The following is a 20,625-nucleotide window of genomic DNA, read 5'->3' as shown; positions in this document are numbered from 1 at the left end:
CTGAGTGCCATGACTGAGTGCGATGACTGAGTGCGATGACTGAGTGCGATGATTGAGTGCGATGATTGAGTGTGATGATTGAGTGTGGCTGCTGCTTCTGTCTGTGCTTAAGGCTTGATGATCAGACCACACGCATTTTTGGATGTGCAGTGCTCAGTGTACAGCATGCCCACATGATGGAGTAGATGGGGAAGCCAGGAACTGTGTCCGGATAGGAGAGAAGTTACCTGCAGAAGGGACACTGCTTTCCTCCCACACCTCAGCAGCTGGCCTGTGATTCTCCCGTGGGCCTCCCAGAGGCCCCACACAGCCTGCTTGTTCACCCCTGACACTGTGGGTGCCAGTGGCCATGCAGGTCTTCACAGCCTGCCATATGACATAGGTAGGCTTTGTATCATATGTTACCTCCCAGATTCAAAAAGCCCCACCAAAGTCGGCCTCGTGTTGGTGAAGATGCCCCCACCTGCTCCACATCACCGGAGCTTGAAGCCTCTCCGAGCCAAGGGGAGCCGGCTTACTTCCCACCCCTGTGCACTTGTGTTGTTTGGGTATCTGAGGTGCCCAAAGCTTCCTGGTCAACAGGCCCCTTGCGCGCGCTGTCCTAGTGTGCTTTCTGTCCCTGTGATTGAGGTCTTTGTGGATGAGGTCAGGCTGTATTGGTCTGGGCAGGAAGTGGAAACAGAGCAGGTTAAACAGGGAAGTTTAGTATAAAGAAGCGCTAAGTGTGGTAGAAGAGTCACAGGCGTCAGATGTGAAGAAACTCCCTCAGGTCACCAGGACTGAGCAAGAACAGCCCAGGAAGGAACATCTTGGAGGGACGCAGACCTCGGCCCACTGTGCAGCAGAGGTGGCTGCTTTGGCCAGGCTGGAGCTGGTCCACAGTCGCTGGATTGGCAGGAGGCTGCCCTCTGGAGTGCAGGTGGGGAGTGGGCGGTCACAGCTGATGGCATGCTGTGCCCAGAGAGTGCAGAGGGTGTGGGAACCCTCTGGGCTATAGACAGGGTGCAGATAGGCCCCACAGGTGCCTTCAGAGGGAACCAGGATGCTGGCGCGGGCCCCAGGCCTCCCGGAGCTGGTGTGGGCAGGAAGCCTTGGGGTGCCAGTCTCTGGATTGAGAGGCCCATGGAAAGGCTATCACCAGGCTGAGGTGGTGGGGTCACAGAGGGACCAAGGGCCCAGTGCTGGGGCCACGCTTCCCTGCACACACTCACAACCACTCCAGGACCATGGCGTGGAAGCCCCTGCCTCTTGCAGTCTCCTTCCAGGGCTTTCGGCTGAGAACGGGGGCTCACCTCCAAGGACAGCAGCCAAACAGTCTGTGCGCTACACAGGGCACGGTCTGCAGGGCGCCTTCAGCACCTGAGGTGGCAAGTGGGTCACTGGCACAGGTAGATGGAGCCAGCCGATTTCTTCCTTAAAGGGCCAGAGAGTAAATATTTTAGGCTTTGTAGGCCATTCGGTCTCTGTCTCATATTCTTCTCTGTGTCCTTTTATGTCCCTTTAAAAATGCAGAACCACTCTTAGCTCATGGGGTGCAGGCTAGATGTGCCCGATGGGCACAGCATGTTGGCCCCAGGCCTGAGTCTTGATGTAGGTCTGCAGCAGGACGTGAACAGGCACTGCTGGCCTTGCCAGGCAACAGCAAATAGCTTCTGGTGGCCCTTCAAATTGGCGGTGTGAGACCAAATTGCTAGCTCAATCTTTATATCAGAAGCCAGGGCCTGCATTCTTGTATAGACATGCTCTGTGACAACAGCGTATCTGAAATAGCTGCAGTTGGGGTTGCCCGCCTGATTAAGTTTATGATCATGCACTGTCATTCTCCAAGAACCCGCTGCTGCGACGCAGGCCAAACAGCTGGGTTTAGTGGGGTGTGGTAAAAGGCAGCACCCAGCACCTTTCACAGCCTCCATGGTGCTCCTAACTCTCCATCCCACCAACACTGCAGTGTTGCTTTTGGTTGACTATTTTCACAGGTGAGGGAATGTCCCGGGGCATCCCTCTGGTCCTTCCTGTCATCATTGGCTCTGTAGCCATGGAGTGAGTGCTCTGTGGTCGTCCTGCCAGTGCTAGGTCTGCCTATTCCAACACACATACAGGGATTGGAGAAATAGCCGCAGGTTGGATACACTGACCCCACTGGGCCCTCTGAGGTGGACTTGGGCCACAGCTTCCGGGTCCCTGCTTGGCCGTAGATCCTGTGATGTGTTGGGTCCAGTAGGACTGGCATTGATTCAGGGTGTGGGGGTAGTTCCCTCTCCCCATGGTCAGCTCTCCTATAAAATAGCCACGGGTCCTTCCCCAAGGGGACCTGGGTTCCCCTAAACTGAGGGGCCATAGGCCTGTGAGCTGGCTTAGGTGAAGAGCCGAGAGAGGCCACGCCTCTGCACGGTGGTCATCGGGCCAGCTTTCTGTCTGTCCTGAGCCTTTCTGGCATGTGGAGTAGGGGCTGAGCAGCCTGCCTGTCTTTTTCTCTCTTGGCCTCTGCTGCAGCTCCATCTGGGCTAGACTGCTCTGATTGGCACATCATGCTTGTGCCCACTGTGTCTCTGGAGCTCACGGCCAGCGAGCCCCTGACACCTCCACTTCTCAGCACCCCCTTCCTGTTGGGGCAGCAGCCTGTTGTGATGCTGGCACCACCTCCTGCTGCCTCCTGGCCAGCAGAGCTTGTCAGAGGCGCGGGTGCCCCTCACCAGTGCCTGGAGGATAAGAGAGTTGGTGTCATCCTTGTCTTGCTCATCAGCCTTGCCGCCTTCTGCAATCAGTCTCTGCCCCTGCACACTCAGGCGATGCAATCTGTACATGGTGCCATCCCTAAGGCATTTAAAAGGCCATCGAGGAAGGTATTTTTAGGCCCAGATCTTCAGACATCCTGTTGTGCACCCCGAGGCGTACCTGCATCAGGTGAGCGCCCAGTGAGGCTGTCATTTGTCCTCATCCATCCTGCTCAGCTCCTGCCAGACTCAGAGATGGCTGCGGGCTCTAAAAATAGTCCCATCTTAAGGTACTGCTTATGCAGCCCTGGAAACCTCCTCCTCCTCCAGCTGGGGATCAGATTATGTCCCCCAGGCAGGGCATTGTTCGCCCTTTAGCCGGGCTGACTGGAGCTACTATTCATGCTCACAAAGGCTCTGATCTCCTTTGAATTCCTGTAAGCCTTTTGCCTGGTAATCCCTTCCAGCAGGCAGCACACCCGTGGCTGCAGTTGGCAGTCGCGAATATGCCTCCCTCCCTTCATTTTGCCCTGATTATCTCTTTATCTCATTAAGGGCCTTGAGCTCTTGTGTTAACATGTGAAAAGTAGGTAGTGGCTTCAAATTGGCTTTGAAGATGCAACTTGGAATTTTCTCTTTCAAAGCAGGGGGCTGTTATGGGAGTCAGGAGGCTCCATTCATTCTGGACATCAGCGCTAATGAGCTGTTTGAACTTGGAAAAGTCAGTGGCTTCACTGGGCCTCAGTTTCCTCATTTGTGAAATGAAGGGGCTGTGTTCATTCAGCATGATATCGGAGTTCCCTTTCAGCCTAGGTATCGTGTGGTTCTCTGACTTCTGTCGGCACAGACACAGTTTCTGTGGGCAGTGCTGCTGCGGTTTGTGCCATATGTCTGGTTTTATGTGGCAGCCTTGAGCCCTGCCCTCTGCCGGCTCCTAGTCATTGTGATATTAATTCGGCACAGGAAGTTACATTACAGAACCTCAGTTCAGGAGCGTGTGAAAAACATAGATAAAAGATGAAATGCCTCCCTGCTTATTAACAGCATTTGCCTTCTAAAGATTAGGTTTTCCTTCTTAAAAGCTCCTTAGTTTCTTTGATGGCTGCTGGATGTGTGTTGAACACTGTTGGGATCCACACAGCTACAGAAATCCTCAGAGTTTCAGAGCTGATGAGTATGTCCCCATGGGTGCTTCTTCCTTAGTGCTGTTTACCTTCCATTTCATCTGCCTCTGAGGATGTGGAGTTTCTGGAGGTAGGAATGCCAACTGTATTTCCTGAGCCCCAAGCACACTCCTTACTCAGCAACGTGTGCAGCTTCGTTCATTTTTTTGGGTGACGATGCCAGAGACACCTCCTGCCTGCACACCCCTCTAATGTTCTGGTCTTCCTCAGGGTGGTTTCTGGTGTTCACATACTTTATTAAGGCACTTTGAACTCACCTCGTACCCACCAGATTTTCAGACTAAATTCTAGAAGGACAATTTTATAATCTTTTGGAAAATCTATGTAAATTTTTCATACACTAGACATTTCATTAATTTTATTTTAGTTACCAATTTTTAGAAAAATGCATTGGGGCCAGGTGCGGTGGCTCAAGCCTGTAATCCCAGCACTTTGGGAGGCTGAGGAGGGCGGATCACAAGGTCAGGAGTTCGAGACCAGCCTGACCAACATGGAGAAACCCCGTCTCTACTAAAAATACAAAAATTAGCTGGGCATGGTGGCGGCACCAGTAATCCCAGCTACTCAGGAGGCTGAGGCAGGAGAATCGCTTGAACCCGGGAGGCGGAGGTTGCAGTGAGCCGAGATGGTCACTCCAGCCTGGGTGACAGAGCGAGACTCGGTCTCAAAACAAACAAACAAACAAACAAACAAAAACAGCATTGGTTCATAGTGTTTTGCAAAGGAATGGGGGTGAGGTTGTCTTCTTGTGTCATGTGAACTCGCACGTGGCTAACATAGTTGATGCTTCTACCCACTGCAGTTCCCTTTTTTCATCTGTCCTGCCCGGAGGAAGCCTCCTCTGGCCCCTGCCTTTGACACTTCCCTAGCAGTGCTTGGAGCTTCCTTATTTGCCGTACACAGGAAAGTCTTTATCCAGTTCTTCTGGGGCATGGCAAGCTGAAGATGATTGGGACATTCATTACAATAAGGAAGCAGCCTGCCTATCCATCAGTGCTAATGAGCCGGATGAACGGATAAAGAAACATGGTACAAATGGAGCATTGCTCAGCCCTAAGAAGGAAGGAAATCCTGCCATCCGCAGCAGCAGGATGAACCTAGAGGTCTTGAGTGGAATAAACCCAGCACAGAGAGTCAGACACCACGCAATCTCACTTACATGCAGAATCTAAAAATACTGAAGTCACAGAAGCAGAGCAGGTGATAACAGAGGCTGGCGGGAGGGCGGATGGGGAAAAGGGAGATGTTGGTGAAAGGATACAAAGTTTCAGTTAAGGGGAGAAATGAGTTCCAGAGATCTATTGGATGTCTTGCTGACCACAGTTAGTAACAATGTATCATGGTAACTGAAGTTATTAGCAATGTATCATATACTTGAAAATTGTTAAGAGAGTAGATTTCAAGTGTCTTCACAACAAAAAATGATAAGTATGTAAGGTAATGCAAATATGAATTGGCTTGACTTAGCCATTCCACAATGTATACACATATCAGAACATTACTATAAATATATGCATTTTTTAATTAGAAAGTTAATGGTGCTGCAGCATCATTTGTTGGGGACACAGAGCCATCTGGAAATACTGGGTTCCAGGCCTCTGTGTGCTATTACTGGGGCAAGGAAACTGACAGAGGAGCTGGGTCCGGCACCGTGCCGCGTCCTGGGGAAGGCGCTGGCCGCACCGTGCCGCGTCCTGGGGAGGGCGCTGGCCGCACCGTGCCACCTCCTGGGGAGGGCGCTGGCCGCACTGTGCTGCATGCTTTTGCTGCATGAACCCGGCTCACCTAGGTGGTGCGATGTGATGTGGATAGGAGATCCTGGGCCCACTCCTGCTTGTTGTATAGTGCAGTTCTGTGGCTTCTCTGATTATGTGCTATTTGTAGTGGTGGGGCCGTTGAGGGGTGGTCTCTGGTCAGGGCATCAGGGCTTTGTTTTTGCAGCCAAGAAAGGCAAACTCATACTTGGACTAAGTGTCGGATGAACTTCTTCCTGTTCTCAGGATGGAAGGGGCTCCAGGCATCACCTTGCCACATGCAATACTGTGGGTGGGTCTCCAATTTCTCAGTCTTTTTACTTCCAGGCTTCTAACCAGTCACCAGGCAGTTGGCCATGCCCTTGAGTATGGGCCACTTTTTGCACGCCACAGGGATGGCCAGAGCAGTGCTGGGAGCCCTGCCTCATGATCACCGTTCTTCACAATCAGCTTTCCCTCCATGCTCTCCCAGCCGTCTCCTGAGCGTAGCCGTCTGACAGCGCCTGCCAATGTTTGGCTTATGCCCTCTCCCGAACTCATTGATCTGTAAAGCAGCTCAGATCTCTTCTCCTTCTTCAGCTAAAAGTACAGGACTCCCACATGGCCACAGGCATGAGTGCAGGGAGGGTCCGGGGCAGAGAAGTCTTGTATGGTTTGGGCACCTACCATGCAGTTTTCTGGTGCCCTCTGGTCCTGCCTGACTCTGTCCTGTGTGCACCGTCTCTACTTTGTAGTCAATCACTGCTGGCCCTGCCCGACCCTGTGCCGTGGTGGGTATGACTGAGCTCTTCTCATGAGTGACACGTGGCACTTGGTGCCCCATGGCCAGGAGCTCCATTATCAGGACCCAGAGGCATGGTCAGAGCTGTTTATCAAAAGACATGGTTCTGTGCTGCAGATGGCATGGCTTGCTCCAGAACCCCGGGACCACGTGGTGACTCCAACCGGGCTCTCCACAAAGTCCACACTGCATGCTTTCTACCACTGACAACTTCCACACCAGCAGGTCTACTAGGCGTCCCCAGAAGCAGGGCTGCCTCTCCCCAGCCTGATCTTGCTGTAGTGCCCTCTTGGCCTAAGCTGGCAGCCTTACGTGCTACCCCAGCATCTGGGCTGGTCCAGCCTTCCTAGGTGTATAATGTGTCACCTCTAGAATGAAGAGGGCTGGCAGGCATTACAGCGTCTTTTCTGCTTTTGCTCTGGAGGGGAAGTCCTGGTGTCCTCAGCAGAAGTAGCAGGTCCTGGAATTGCCATAGCTTGTGTTTCCTGCCGTCTTGCCAAGGTCTTCTGCACGCTCCTCCTACGTTGTCACTGTAATGTCATGAATGCAGTGGGTCCATGTGATGTTCTGTGGGCTGCCCAGGTCTGTTTGGACTATATTATGATAGAAAATGGGAGACCAGCACAGCTCTGTGGCAAGAGTGTATACTGTTTTCCTTTGCTTGTGAATGCGGATGGTTTCTCATCTTCTTTCTTCATTGGGATAGGACAGCGTGCATTTGACGGTCTGTGTACACACATCATGTGCCTGAGGGCCTGGGAATCTGCTCTAACAAGACTCCACAGCTGGCACTGTGGATCTGAGTGGGCTCCTGCTTTGTTGAGCTTAGAGTCATCCACAGGCATTCTCCAGGGCCCATTAGCTTTCTGCAGAAGCCAATGGTGAATTCAGCAAAGCCACACCCACTTCATATCCTTGATTCTTAAAGTAAGCGCAGGTCTCTACCACTCTTTGATGGGTTGGGACGGGGAGGCAGTTTCAGAGGCTTCTATGTGACCTTCCCATTAACTCCACAGGTCACAGGCCCGGTATGGGTATTTCACAAACTGCCCAGGATGTCAATCCCATTTGACCTTAACAGACCTTGGAGTTGCCCACCAGGTGCGCCCACAGACTCAGAGGATCTGCGGTAAGCCAGGCCCTGCCTAGGACTTTACTTATCACCTGGCATCCCCATGCCCCACTCGGGCCGGAGGACAGTGGGACACTGGGTTGCTGGACCCCTGTGCGTGTCTTTGTGTTCAGCAGACCTGGAAATGTGTGGGGATTACCCTTTGCCCAGGGAATGGCATTCAGGAAAATGGCCGTGGGTCCCTTTGGGTACAGACTAGGGTAATCATTGCAGTGTACACCTGCCCTAGGGTTGCAGGTTCCTAACCCGTGGGGAATCTGACCATCTTTACCGTCAGTGGGTTCCAGCTCTGAAGCTGCCTCAAATCTGGATCTGGGTAAGGGATTGTGACTGTGAGTGGGGTGACTTCCCTCAGCCTTCTGCTCATTCATTCTTGTTTTCTTTTTAATATGTATGTACGTTATGTACGTTTGCACTCATGTGTGCATGTGTCAGGCAGGCAGTACTCTCCTTGAATGCCTTGTCTGTTTCACCCCTAGGAATACCAACTCTATTAACTGTCTCCACAGCCCTCTGCCAGTTGAGCTTCCTTGGCCGGCACTCTGGTCTCGTTGGTCATTATGATAATTGCCACCCCCTGACTTCTGGCAGTTACATACCGTCACCCGACCACATTTACTTGGGGCTGGGTTTAACTGCCCAAGTCAGAAAGCTGGACAAAGCTTATTATCAACAAGCCAAGCTTTGTGACAGCTTCTTCTAAGAGTGGAATTATTGGGTCATCTGGTAAGTGAATGTTCAACTGCAAAAGTGTTTTCCAAAATGTGTGTACTGTTTTACACTCTTTTTTCACAATCCGTGAGAGATCCAGTTACTGTACATCTTTGCCAATACTTGCTATTGTTGGTCTTTTTTAAATGAAAATTTCACCACTCTAGTAAGATGTGTGGTGAGTCTCACATGGTTTCACTTTGCCTCCTTCCAATTATTAATAATGTTGAGCATCTTTTCTGGTGCTTGTTGACCATTCATATGTTTTCTTTTGTGAAGTGTCTGATTTGGCGTAAGGTACATTTAAAAAAATTGGGTTGTTTCATTATTAAGCTGTGGGAGGTCTTTATATTTATTCTGGATACAGGCCTTTTGTCAGATATATGTATTATAAATATCTCCCCCAGTCTGTCTTTTCTTTTCTTTTGTTTTCTTTCTTTCCTTTCTTTCCTTCCCTCCTTCCCTCCCTCCCTCCCTCCCTCCCTCCCTCCCTTCCTTCCTTCATTTTTTGAGATGGAGTCTCGCTGTGTTGCCCAGGTTGTAGTGCAGTGGCACAATCTTAGCTCACTGCAACCTCCACCCCCCAGATTCAAGCAATTCTCTTGCCTCAGCCTCCCAAGTAGCTGGGATTATAGGCGCCCACCACCATGCCCAGCTAATTTTTATATGTTTAGTAGAGACGGGGTTTCACCATGTTGGCCAGGCTGCTCTCAAACTCCTGACCTCATGATCCGCCTGCCTTGGCCTCCCAAAGTGCTGGGATTACAGGCGTGAGCCACCATGCCCGGCCACTGCTTCATTTCTTTAATAGTGTCTTTCTGAAAGCAGAGTTTTTCATTTTGATTTTAAAGAAGTTTTAAATTTTAATGAAGTCCAATTAATAGGGTCTTTTGGTGAATAGAAGTTCTTAATTTTAATAGATTCTATGTTATTCGTCTTTTTCTGTATGATCCAGCTTTTTTTCCTGCCATTTAAGGAATCTTTGCTTGTCCCAAGGCTGAGAAGATATTCTACTATGTATTCTTGAAAAGATTTGTATTATTTTATCTTTACGTCTTTATCATCAGTCTAGCTGGAATTGGTTTTTGAGTATGTTATGAGGTAGGATACAAGTTTATTTTCTTTCATATGGATATACAATTGATCCAGCATCATTTATTGAAAAGACCATCCTTTCTCCACTCTTGAGTGTTATTTTTGTAGTAAAACAAGTGACCATCTTTCTAAGGGTCTGTTTCTTTCCAGCTTCCAAAACTTCATTGCTCTTCTATCCTTGTGGGTTTATGTTTTTAAAAGAAAATAGAAAGAAAAACCCCTCTTTGTTACAACATTAGAAGGGTTTCAGAATGGAGTAAAAGTTGAAGTGAGTGTAGATTCTCTTATCTATATTTTCTTGGAGGTTCCTCCATTGCCTTCTCTACTCTGTGAAGTTGATGGACTGTGGGGAGAGAGGTGAATAGCGCTACATGAACCGGATACGTGGAAACTTCATTGTCCAGCTGGTCACTTAAACATTGTATCTGGTGTAGACTTTGAAGGGAGGTAGCTTACCTGAGAGTGGAAAATCTTACTTCACCTGTACCACTTTTGCTTTATTGAGGGCAACGTGGATATAGTTAAGGAGTTTGGTGAGCTGGCGTTTACAGGAAAGTCACTTTCTTTACACCTGAACAGAATTCTCCAAAGAAGGAACTTGTTGGGGATGTGGGGGGGAGTGTCTGCCATTAGTCATTTCTTCCACAGAATAGCTGTTTTTACTATTCCCTGCCTTTGTCATCTTGTGTATTTCATTCATTTTGAAGTGCAGCCACAATTTAGTGCTCCCATTATTAGTTCTATAACTTGTAAGATTAGACATGTATTTTTCTACCATTTAGAAAGATTAAGATAATCTACACCTCTGTTGGGTTAGTGTGTGCTAGTGGGTTAGGCATTCATTTTTTTCTTTCCTACTCCAAATTGCCAACTTTCCCTTTGGTTATTTTTGTGTTTCCAGGAGTGCCATTGCCAATCTCGTGGGCTCTGCAGAAAGATCGTGTAACTGAAAATTTCAGCAAATAAATAAATAAATAAATAAATAAAATTCCCTTGTAGACAGAACTGTCTGTACACTCCATTTTTGTAAAGTTGGAAGTGTGAACATTATATGAATATATGATGGAGTTTTTTTTCTTTAAGCCATAATTGCATGTTCTTTTAGACCCAATATGGTATATAAAATGGTCACTGAATTTGGAATCAGAAAATCCTGGTTGAAGTCTTAATCTTTTAACTTCTTATCATTCAATCATGGTTAACAATGGTATTAATAATATTCACAAAGTTAGATATTTTGTCATTGAGTTCGTTGCTATATTGCTTGGTCGATTAGTTGATATTGAGATCGCAAGAGCATCATCACCAGTAAGTGATACATTTTCGATTGTAACCTAAGGTCGTTGTTATTTTGTAATGCCATGCTGTTTTCCTTCTTGTACTACCCATGAAATGTTTTTTTATGTTCTAACGCAATATATAATATTTTTATGTTCTTCACTTGTTATCAATTGATGATTTAATGTTGAATCCTGTTTGCTAGTTTATGATTATTCATTAAAGGCCATCTTTAAAAGGGAGAGGTGTTTAGCACATATTCAATTGAAAACTAAATGGAAAGCAAATTCTGAAAGGATTTATGTTCAAGAATTCAATGTTAAATCTAATTTTTAAAAAATTTATCATATTGAGAAATTTTCTAGAGCATCAGAGACCTTCCTTGGAAACAAGTGACCCCAGTCTTTCTAATGCAGGTTGAGTCTCTATCCACAAAGTGGCTTTTCTAGGTACTCTAGATTCCTGGAGCATCTTGAAAATAGAGTATCAAGACTCAGGGAGACCGAGCAGCCACCAGCAGGATCGTGTAAGGATGGCACTCTCATTTCTAGGAGAAGAGGCTGTATTGATGGTGACATGACCAGGCTGGGCTGCCACCTGCTGCCCACCAGGGCTCCAGGCCTCAGCATGCGATGCCTCTGAATGGCATTACCTTCCGGTCCCAGATACTCATCACTTTAGGTAAACTGAGGCAGAATAACATGCGTGACAGGATTTCCGAATGGAATATCGCTCAGTGTGCCTAATAGTCATTTAAGGTGATCTCATACAGCTATGGAGAGAAAACCCGTTTAATGCCAACCTTAGACACCAGCTGCGTGCGTGGTGATTATATCTTTAGTCCCCCATTTTGCTCCCTTTTTTGAAGAACTATTGAAGAAGAACGGAAGGAAATCGATTTTGAGGAAATTAAATTTTCTTTTGAAACAGCATGATGGTTTTTAAAACAAAGAGAAAGTGGGGAACAGGATGCTGATTACGAACCGTGCCGGGTTCTGCCTGCCGACTCAGGCTGTGCTTCTCCCTGCTCCGTCTTTGCTGCCTGCAATCGTACATATTTTAAAGAGCAGATGCGCGCTGCTTATGGATTTGTGTAAATGTGCGTGTGCTGTCTGCAGAATGCGGGGCACACCGTGCTCTGTTGACATTATCCATTATGCTCTGTTGCTCAGCTTCAGACAGCAAAGTCCTGACATGTGCAGCCGTGTGGAGGATGCCGAAGGAATTGGAATCAGGCAGCCACGAGTCCCCTGATGATTCATCCAGCACTGCACAGACCCTGGAGCTGCTCTGTCACCTTGACAACACAGCCCATGGCAACATGGCCTGGTAGGATTTTGCATATTTCATGCGCCCAGAACGAGCCTGCAGGTTGGCCAGGTGCAGGAGCTTGTGCAGATTCCTTTGCAGGAGCCACCGTCCACACCTCGGAAACGCTCCTTTCTTTTAAAAAGCTGCGAGAATTTGATTTTTAATTTTAGTCCCTGTGTTTTCTAGATTAGCCGCATTGACAGAAATGTAGCCAGCGCGCCTGCATCCCCACTTTCTCCTCTTCATCTAAGAGGAGTGTTGCCCGTGGGGACCTGCCAGAGGGTAAAGGGTCAGGCACTGCACTGCCCTCGAGCGCTGTGTGGCTTTTCAGCTTGGTCAGCATGCACTTATTCACACTCACATGGCAATTATTTACCACTTCAGGTTGAGGCTTACAATCCCTTCCTCCCGTGGACAAAGCATGAATGCGTGGTGTGCCTGTGGGGCTGCGTGCCCAAGCCCGCCCGTGTCCGGCATGTGGTGTGTCATTCACGTGGCTCCCTGGCCAGTCGCTGCTTCATGAGCTTGGAGGCCTGGCTGTGTGCACCCACTGGTCATTCCCAGGGACCTCTCCACGGCAGTCACAGCTGCTCTCTGAAGGCCCTGAGGCCTTGGTAAAAATTAAGAAGCCGTATTTTCTAAAGGAGATTGCGGGGGCATACTGTTGTTATGAGTGTTTACAATAACGATAGTGATTGTTTTACTTAATGCATTAACACATACACATGTGCGTGTGTGTCTGCAAGAGACAAATCGTTTGTACAGTGACTTCTGTCTCGTCAGTTCTACCAATTAAATAAATTTAATACAACAAATACTTATTAAATACCTGCTACAGAAACCCTGCCAGGCTCCAGGGACACCAAGGTGACAAGTTAGAGGGCCCGGCCTCCGAGAGTCATGATCTCCACGGGGAGACCCAGGGTGTACACAACTAACTGTGGCTGGGCCAGCCGTGGCGTACCCCGAAATCATTACGAACTGTACGCTGTGGCCCCGGAAGGAGCAGCCATTAATTGTTATTAGAGGAATTGAAGAGGGATTCGCTTACGAGGTGGAGTTTGGAACGGGGACTGAGGACCGACTCAGGTTTCCCTCGTCAGGTATGGAGGAGAGCAGTGCTGAGGGTCAGGCAGTCTGTGGCTCCGGATGCTCTCTGTGTATCAGTTTGTGGTGGAATTATTTTTATACTTGCTGTGCTTCTACCACGTCGGTGGATATTTCTTCTTACGGAGATGCTCTGAGTATTAAAATCACAGCCAGTCTTGCACAGTAAGGGGAGGCAGATGAAGAGTCCCAAAGTCCCCAGGAGTGATTGCCACTGCTGTCACTCCCCGCCCGAATGCAGGATCTCTGTGCAAACCACACAGCACTGTTAGGAGTTCCACATTTCAAATGATTGCCACATCCCCAGCAAATAGACATTTGTGCGCATGTGTGTGATGCACATGTGCACACATTTGTGCTTGTGTCTCTGTGCACACGTATGTGTGCACATTTGTGTATGTGTTAATGTGTGTACACGTTGCAGGAGACACCGGCACCAGGGAGCAGATGAGTGAGACTCTGCGCAGGTCAGTGGTCACGTTAGGGAGGTTAGCATGTGTAGCGGATGGCAGTCCTGCTGGGATGTGCAGAGACAGGTGAGCTCAGAAAAGGGACCTTGGCCCTGCCTGGGGACAAGGAGCTGTCAGACTGCTTCTCAACTTCCCACCTTGTGCAGACACTGTATGCAAAGACAGGCCACATGGGTGTGTGTCATGGGGAACTGATTATTAGATTGTAATGTTAAATTGCATCATACCTACATAGACTTATGAAAATAGTTGTTGAAGGTGGGGTGCAGTGGCTCACACCTGTAATCCCAGCACTTTGGGAGGCCAAGGTGGGTGGATCACCTGAGGTCAGGAGTTCGAGACCAGCCTGGCCAACATGGTGAAACCCCATCTCTGCTAAAAATACAAAAATTAGCCGTGTGTGGTGGCACGTGCCTGTAGTCCCAGCTATTTGGGCAGCTGAGGCAGAAGAATCACTTGAATCTGGGAGGCGGAGGTTGCAGTGAGCTGAGATCAGGCTACTGCACTCCAGCCTGGGTGAGAGAGACTCCGTCTAAAAAAAAAAAAAAAGAAAGTAAGAAAGTAATTGTTGATATTAAACAGGCAAATTCAACTATCCTCAGATCTACCTTGGAATGCCATTTGCTCTGATTTTGCCTCTGTTGTTCAAAGTATTGCTTGAATTCCATTTTGTTATCCAATATATTATTGCATATTCTTTTTTCTCTTAAGCTTTTTATTTTGAGGTTGTACATTCACATATAGTTATAGGAGTAACAGAGAGATCCCGTGTATCCTTCAGCCAGTTTTCCCCAATAGTAACACTGCATAACTATGGTACTGTATCACAAACAGGAAACTGGCATTGATACAGCCCACTGAACTTACACAGATTCCTCCTGTTTATATGCATTCGTGTGTGAACATTGACATCTGTGCCATTTATTGTGTGTGTGGGTTCGTGTAGCCACCACCAGAGTCAAGACACAGAACAACTCCAACCCTGGGTCCCTTGTGCTATGTTATATTTATAACCACAGCCACCTCCCTTCCGCCTCCAAGGCCTTAGCCCCTGGCCACCCCGAATCTGTACTCTATCTCTGTATTGTTATTTGGAGAAGGTTCTATAAATGGAATCACCCACAGTGTAACCTTTAATAACTGATGTTCTTTACTCGGCTTGATTCCCTGGAGGTTGAGTTGCTGCTTCATTTTCAAGTTTGGGTTCCAGCCACCATGCGTGCTGGTCAGTGGCTGGTTCCTCTTTGCTGCGGCGGGATATCCCATGGCATGACGCACCACGGTTTGTTAAGCACTTGCCTGTTGAAGCTCATCTGGGTTTTTCCTTGTTTTTGGCGATTATGACTACAGTTGCGGTAAGTATTAATGAACAGGTTTTTGTATGAACAGGAAGTTTTATTTCTCTCGGCTCAGTTAGTTTTGTGTGGAGCTGCTGCACGTGTGATGCCATGACAGAGCGTGAGGGCTCCTCCTCTCTGCGTCCTCCCCAGCATTTGGTGTCATCATGCGTGTTCTTTTAAGTGTCTTCCATGGTGTGAAAGTGTTATGATTAGATAGGGAATTTGATTTGGGGGAACGTCGGTCTGGTGAATACGGCACAGGTGAAGGCTGCCCTTTGGGGTCAGGCTCCAGGTGCTTGGTGGTGGTTTTGTTTGCCTCCTTTTGGCATATAATTGGCACCAAGAACAGCTCCAGGAGATGTTTACTGCACAAAGCTTCTGGCCACCTGGGAGTGCCCGAGAATGCCACACGGTTCCCCACACTCACGTCGCTACCACTCCAGCTGCCATCACGCCTGCCATGGGTGCTCCCTGCAGACTAGAGGCATGCCCCACACCGCAGGAAATGGTGTTAGGGGCTCCTGTCCTCCTGGCCATTTCAGCTTTTGCCTGTCTGGAGCAATCTGATGTCCTAATTTCCATCACCCCTCCTGTGTCTGTCTCAGCACTCCAACAAGCAGAGGCTGAACAGGGCACCCCACCAGTCGCCTTTAGCTCCTGCTAGTGGGAACAGCGAAGGCTAAGGAAGGAACTTATAGAGCCTTATGACCCAGTGTGCCCCCCAGAACACTAATCAGACATGCTCCAGAGCCAGGCAGCCTATGGAAGCAGACAGAGACTAGCTGGGAAGTACTGAGTCCGGTTTCTCGTCCTCACCCACTCCTCGGGAGCAGTAGGGTCTTTAGGAAGTCACTCATTTCTCTAGCTCAAACCTTCATCCCTGAAACGGCGATGACGTTGCTCAGCTGATGGTTGTGTGGCAGGGCCTCTACATGGTGTCCACCAAGAGTCCAGTTCTGTAAAATATTTGAAGAGATTTATTCTGAGCTGAATATGAGTGACCACGGCCCTCAGGGGGTCCTGGGAACATGTGCCCAAGGTGGTCGGGGCGCAGCTTGGTTTTATACGTTTTAGGGAGTCATGAGACATCAATCAAATACATTTAAGAAATACATGGGTTTGGTCCAGAAAGGGGGGACAACTCGAAGCAGGAGGCTTCCAGACTGTAGGTAAATTTAAACATTTTCTGGTTAACAATTGGTTGAATTTGTCTAAAGACCTGAGATCAACTGAAAGGGATGCCTGGGTTAGGAAAAAGGACCGTGGAGACTCAAGTTCTTATTGCAGAGGAAACTTCAGGTGGCAGCTTCCGAGAGAACAGGCTATAAAATGTTTCCTATCAGACTTAAAGCCTGTGTCGATGTTGATGCCAGAGAGGTAGAATGAGGCACGTCCGATCCCCACTTCCCATCATGGCCTAAAACAGCCTTTGAGGTTAAATTTTAAAAGAGCCCTGGCTAGGGAGAAAGTCCGTTCAGATGGGTGGGGTTCTTAGAGTTTTTTATTTCTGATTTACAGTGGAAATGTGTCCCTTACTATATTTGCTAAGGAAGATCCTAAAAACAAGGCAGTGCCGGGGTTCCTGTAAGGGCCCCTCAGGTCCCCGCCAGCCCTGGTGCTCTGCAGCTCTGCCCGGCAGGGATGGAGCCCCTGAGCTGGCCTTAGAGGACCTGCCCCATCACCAGCCCCACTTAGACGCTCCTGTCTCAGCCTCGCCTGGTTAACCCTTCCCTCTCAAGTCACCATGCTCTGCCCCACCCTGTGATTTCTTGCCATTTTGCCCAATTTTTTGTTTTTGTTTTTGTTTTGGAGATGGAATCGCCCTCTGTCACCCAGGCTGGAGTGCAGTGGCATGATTTCAGCTCACTGCAACCTCTGTCTCCCGGGTTCAAGCAATTCTCTTGCCTCAGCCTCCTGAGTAGCTGGGATTACAGGCACCCACCACCACGCCTGGCTAATTTTTGTATTTTTAGTAGAGACGGGGTTTTGCCATATTGGCCAGGCTGGTCTTGAACTCCTGACCTCAGGTGATCCGCCCACCTCAGCCTCCGAAAGTGCTGAGATTACAGGTGTGAGCTGTTGCACGTGGCCCGTTTTGCCGTTTTATCTTCGTAGGAGTTGCCGCTGCTCAGTACTCCCGTCTCTGTTCTCACTCACGTGTGGTGTTCTCTGTGGACGCTGAGCCTCTGCAGAAGCTGCTGACTTTGTCAGGTCCGAGGCTGTGTCCTCAGCACCAAGGACAGCACAGGGCGGACACTCCGCGTATTTGAGTGAGAAAATGAATGCTTTGCAACAACCATATCGTATTGAACCGTTCTGTGAACGAGGCCCCTTTGCTAGGGCTTTGCATGCATTACCTCACTCATGCAAATCCTGTAAAGTAGGGACTGTCCTTTCCCATGGCCCCAAGAGATTAAGGTAAAGGTATCTGGAATTACTCACTCCTACAGAGGGAGTATTCAGGATTCATAGCCAGAAGTCTCGCCCCAGAACTCCAGAAACACTGGGATCACCTCCCTGTTGAATGAACAGAAGGAGCCATTTGTGTTCCTCACAGTGTGATTATGAAATTGTCTCTGTTCCTGGGAATATAAATGTATCTTCATGACAGTAAGCGTTGAGGATGTTTCAGTATTTCTAGCTGGTCCTTTTGGTTGATAAACATTAATAAAGTATGCTGTATATGGGAATTAAGCATTTTGAAAATAACAAAATGCCCTTCTTTTTAAACCTGCTTTCCCCTCTCTACCTCTGGTTTGCTTCTTCGTCAGCTATAGTGACTTGTGGGAGAGATGGTGGACTTCAAGGCAGCAGACCTAGGGTGGCGGGCTCTCGTTTCAGATTTACAGGTAGTTATTTGTAGTGTTCCAACTTTGGGCAAGTCATTTCTGTTGAGGCCTTGTTCCCTTGTGTGTGGAGTGGGGGTGGTTGTGGGGCCTCGGATTCTTTCCAGTTCTACGTTTATTAGATGTAGAGGACATTTATTTATTTGTTTATTAGATGCAGAGTCTACATTTATTGACTGTTGCTCAGTGCCACATCACTTTGTTTTTAATGAATCAAAAATAAATTACAGACCCTCTTCCCACCCTCCCTTTAGCCTCACAGTGGCTGACACCCCTGCTACTCCAGCCAAGGCAGCCTGCCTCAGGAGTAGGAACTTACAGAGGGCACGGCCGCAGTCTTCTCGCTGAAAAGGACTTTGGAAATCATTCAGATGAGTTCCCTCTGTGGATGAAGTCAGTTCAGCAGACCGCTGGCCGCCTGGGTGGAATTGAACTGAACACTCCCTTGGGGGTGCTTTTATCAAATTATGCCCATCTAGTGTAATGTTTTAACTATTTTTCAGTATATCTCACACTGTTATATTTTATTTTATGTGTGTTAGCTGCCTCTGTTAGTCTGTTTGCATTGCTATAAAGGAATACTGAGACTGGATAATTTATTAAAAAAAAAAAGAGGTTTATTTGGCTCAGGGTTCTGCAGGCTATATAAGCATGGTACCAGCATCTGCTCTTGGTGAGGCTTTAGGAAACTTACAACCATCGTGGAAGGTGAAGGGGGAGCCAGGACATCACTTGTTAGGAGAAAGAAGCAGCTGCCAGACTCTTTTAAACAAGCGAATCTTGTGGGAACTAACTGAGCGAGAAGACTCAGTCATCACCAAGGGACGGGTGCTCAGCCTTTCATGAGGGATCCGCCCCTGTGGTCCAGTACCTCCCACTAGGCCATGCCTCCAACATTGGGATCACATTTCCACATGAGATTTGGAGGGGACTAACATTCAAACCATACCATTCTGCTTCTGCCCTCAAAGAGCTCATGTCCTTCTCACATCACAAAATTCAATCATCTCTTTCCAGTAGTCCCCCAAGGTCTTAACTTGTTCCAGCCCCAACTCAAAAATCCAAAGTCTCATTTGAGACTCAAGGTATGGGCTGTAAAATGAAAATCAAGTTATTTACTTTCAAATTACAATGGGGGTGCAGGCATTAGGTAAACATTTTCATTCCAAAAGGAAGAAATCAGCCAAAACAGAGGGGCAGCAGGCCCCATGCACGTCTGAAACCTGGCAGGAAAGGTATTAAATGTTAAAGCTCCAACACTGACTCCATGTCCTACGTCCAGGGCACACTGGTGTGAGGATTGGGCTCCCAAAACCCTGGCCAGCTGTCCCCATGGCTGCCTGCATGGGTTGGAGTCAAGTGCTTTTGGTTTTTCCAGGCTCAGGATGCAAGCTGCTTCTGGCTCTACCATTCTTGGGCCTGGAGGGCAGAAGGTTCCTTCCTACAGCTCCACTAGGCAGTGTCCTAATGGGGACTCTGTGGGGACTTCAACCTCACATTTCCCCTAAGCATTACCCTAGTGCAGTCTCTCTGCAGTGGCTCCACCCCTGTGGCAGTCTTCTGCCTGGGCACCCAGGCTTTCCCATGTATCCCATGAAATCTAGGGGAAGCTGCCAAGCTTCTTTCACTCCTGCATTCTATGTACCCACAGACTTAGCACCATGTGGAAGTTGCCAGGGCATATAGCTTGCACCTGCCGGAACTGTACCTATGGCCCCTTTGAGCCATGACTGGAGCTAGATGCAGGGAGCAGTGTCCTGAGGCTGCACAAGGAAGTGGGGCCCCGGGCCTGGCCTTGGAAACCATTATTTCCTCCTGGGCCTTTGGACCTTGGATGGGAGGGGCTTTCCCCCTCCCAAGATGCCTGAGATGTCTTCAAGGCCTTTTTCCCATTGTCTTGACTATTAGTGCTTGGTTCCTTTTTAGTCATGCAAATCTCTCTAGTAAGTGGTTGCTCCACAGCCCTCTTGGATTCTTCCCCTGAAAATCCTCTTTGCTTCTTTTCTACATGGCCAGGTTGTGACTTTTCCAAACATTATGCTTTGATTCCCTTCTAAACATAAATACCAACTTTAAGTCATTTATTTGCTCCTGTATCTGATTGTAGGCTGTTAGAAGCAGCCAGGCTACCTCTTGAATACGTTGCTTCTGAGAAATGTCTTCTGCCAGATACTCTAGGTCATTTCTTTTAAGTTCAAACTTCCACAGATTCCCAGGGAATGGACACAATGCAGCCAAGCTCTTTGCTAAGGCATTAACAAGGGTGACCTTTGCTCCAGTTTCAAATAGCTTCCTCATTTCCATCTGAGACCTCATCAGGCCTTCACTGTCCATATTTCTATAAGCATTTTGGCTACAATCACTCAATAAGTCTCTAAGAAATTCCAAACTTTTTCTCATCTTGCTTTCTTTTTCTGAGCCCTCCAAATTCCTTCAACCTCCGCTCGTTACCCAGTCTCAAAGCTGCTCCACATTTTCAAGCATCTTCGTAGCAATGCTCCCCTCCTCAGTACCTATTTAATGTGTTAGTCCATTTTTGTATTGCTATAGGGAAATACATGAGACTGAGTAATTTATAAAAAAAGAGGTTTATTTGGCTCACAGTTCCACAGGCTGTACAGGAAGCATGGCAGCAGCATCTGTTCCTGGTGATTCTTTAGGAAACTTACAATCATTGTGGAAGGTGAAAGGGGCCCAGTGCATCACATGGTGAGAATAGGAGCAAGAGAGAGAATGGGGAAGTCCCAGACTCTTTATTTTTAATTTAATTTAGTTTTCTTTTTTTTAGACAGTCTCACTTTGTCGCCCAGTCTGGAGTGTCATGGTGCCATCTTGGCTCACTGCAACCTCTGCCTCCGCCTTCCAGTATAAGTGATTCTCCTGCCTCAGCCCCCTGAGTAGC

The 20,625-nt window shown here is 48.2% G+C and overlaps 1 protein-coding gene across 6 annotated transcripts in view, besides 7 other annotated features; it reads left to right on the top strand.

Annotated features, from left to right (window-relative positions):
* The window catches only part of EIPR1 (EARP complex and GARP complex interacting protein 1), a 188,849-nt gene that overhangs the window by 108,542 nt on the left and 59,682 nt on the right, over positions 1-20,625 (top strand). For 5 of the 6 annotated variants that reach the window (NM_003310.5, NM_001330530.3, XM_011510383.4 and 2 more), the window contains one exon: positions 11,822-11,978. The exons of the other annotated variant lie outside the window; for it this stretch is intronic. In NM_003310.5, the coding sequence (NP_003301.1) occupies positions 11,822-11,978 (157 nt within the window). The remainder of the gene's footprint in view (positions 1-11,821; positions 11,979-20,625) is intronic. 6 annotated transcript variants of the gene reach the window in all.
* Positions 2,034-2,770: an enhancer, noted in NCBI's record as "H3K4me1 hESC enhancer chr2:3270278-3271014 (GRCh37/hg19 assembly coordinates)". NCBI's record gives its function as "activates a minimal SCP1, AML or CMV promoter by ChIP-STARR-seq in primed H9 embryonic stem cells {active_cell/tissue: H9 hESC(primed)}" and the evidence as "EXISTENCE:reporter gene assay evidence [ECO:0000049][PMID:30033119]".
* Positions 2,034-4,852: a biological region, named in NCBI's record as "VISTA enhancer hs1385".
* Positions 2,199-4,852: an enhancer, noted in NCBI's record as "VISTA enhancer hs1385". NCBI's record gives its function as "enhancer in: hindbrain (rhombencephalon)[3/5] | midbrain (mesencephalon)[4/5]" and the evidence as "EXISTENCE:transgenic organism evidence [ECO:0001131][PMID:17130149]".
* Positions 2,771-3,508: an enhancer, noted in NCBI's record as "NANOG-H3K4me1 hESC enhancer chr2:3269540-3270277 (GRCh37/hg19 assembly coordinates)". NCBI's record gives its function as "activates a minimal SCP1, AML or CMV promoter by ChIP-STARR-seq in naive H9 embryonic stem cells {active_cell/tissue: H9 hESC(naive)}" and the evidence as "EXISTENCE:reporter gene assay evidence [ECO:0000049][PMID:30033119]".
* Positions 14,609-14,738: an enhancer, noted in NCBI's record as "active region_15226". NCBI's record gives its function as "activates an Ori minimal core promoter by ATAC-STARR-seq in GM12878 lymphoblastoid cells {active_cell/tissue: GM12878}" and the evidence as "EXISTENCE:reporter gene assay evidence [ECO:0000049][PMID:35858748]".
* Positions 14,749-14,798: an enhancer, noted in NCBI's record as "active region_15225". NCBI's record gives its function as "activates an Ori minimal core promoter by ATAC-STARR-seq in GM12878 lymphoblastoid cells {active_cell/tissue: GM12878}" and the evidence as "EXISTENCE:reporter gene assay evidence [ECO:0000049][PMID:35858748]".
* Positions 16,885-17,179: a silencer, noted in NCBI's record as "tiled region #3808; HepG2 Repressive DNase matched - State 19:H4K20, and K562 Repressive non-DNase unmatched - State 23:Low". NCBI's record gives its function as "represses a minimal TATA promoter and a strong SV40 promoter by Sharpr-MPRA in HepG2 cells, with weaker repression in K562 cells {active_cell/tissue: HepG2 | K562}" and the evidence as "EXISTENCE:reporter gene assay evidence [ECO:0000049][PMID:27701403]".

Source organism: Homo sapiens, chromosome 2, assembly GCF_000001405.40.
Source record: "Homo sapiens chromosome 2, GRCh38.p14 Primary Assembly".
In the NCBI taxonomy this organism is placed as follows: Eukaryota; Metazoa; Chordata; class Mammalia; order Primates; family Hominidae; genus Homo; species Homo sapiens.
This window is presented reverse-complemented; position numbering and strand designations above follow the sequence as displayed.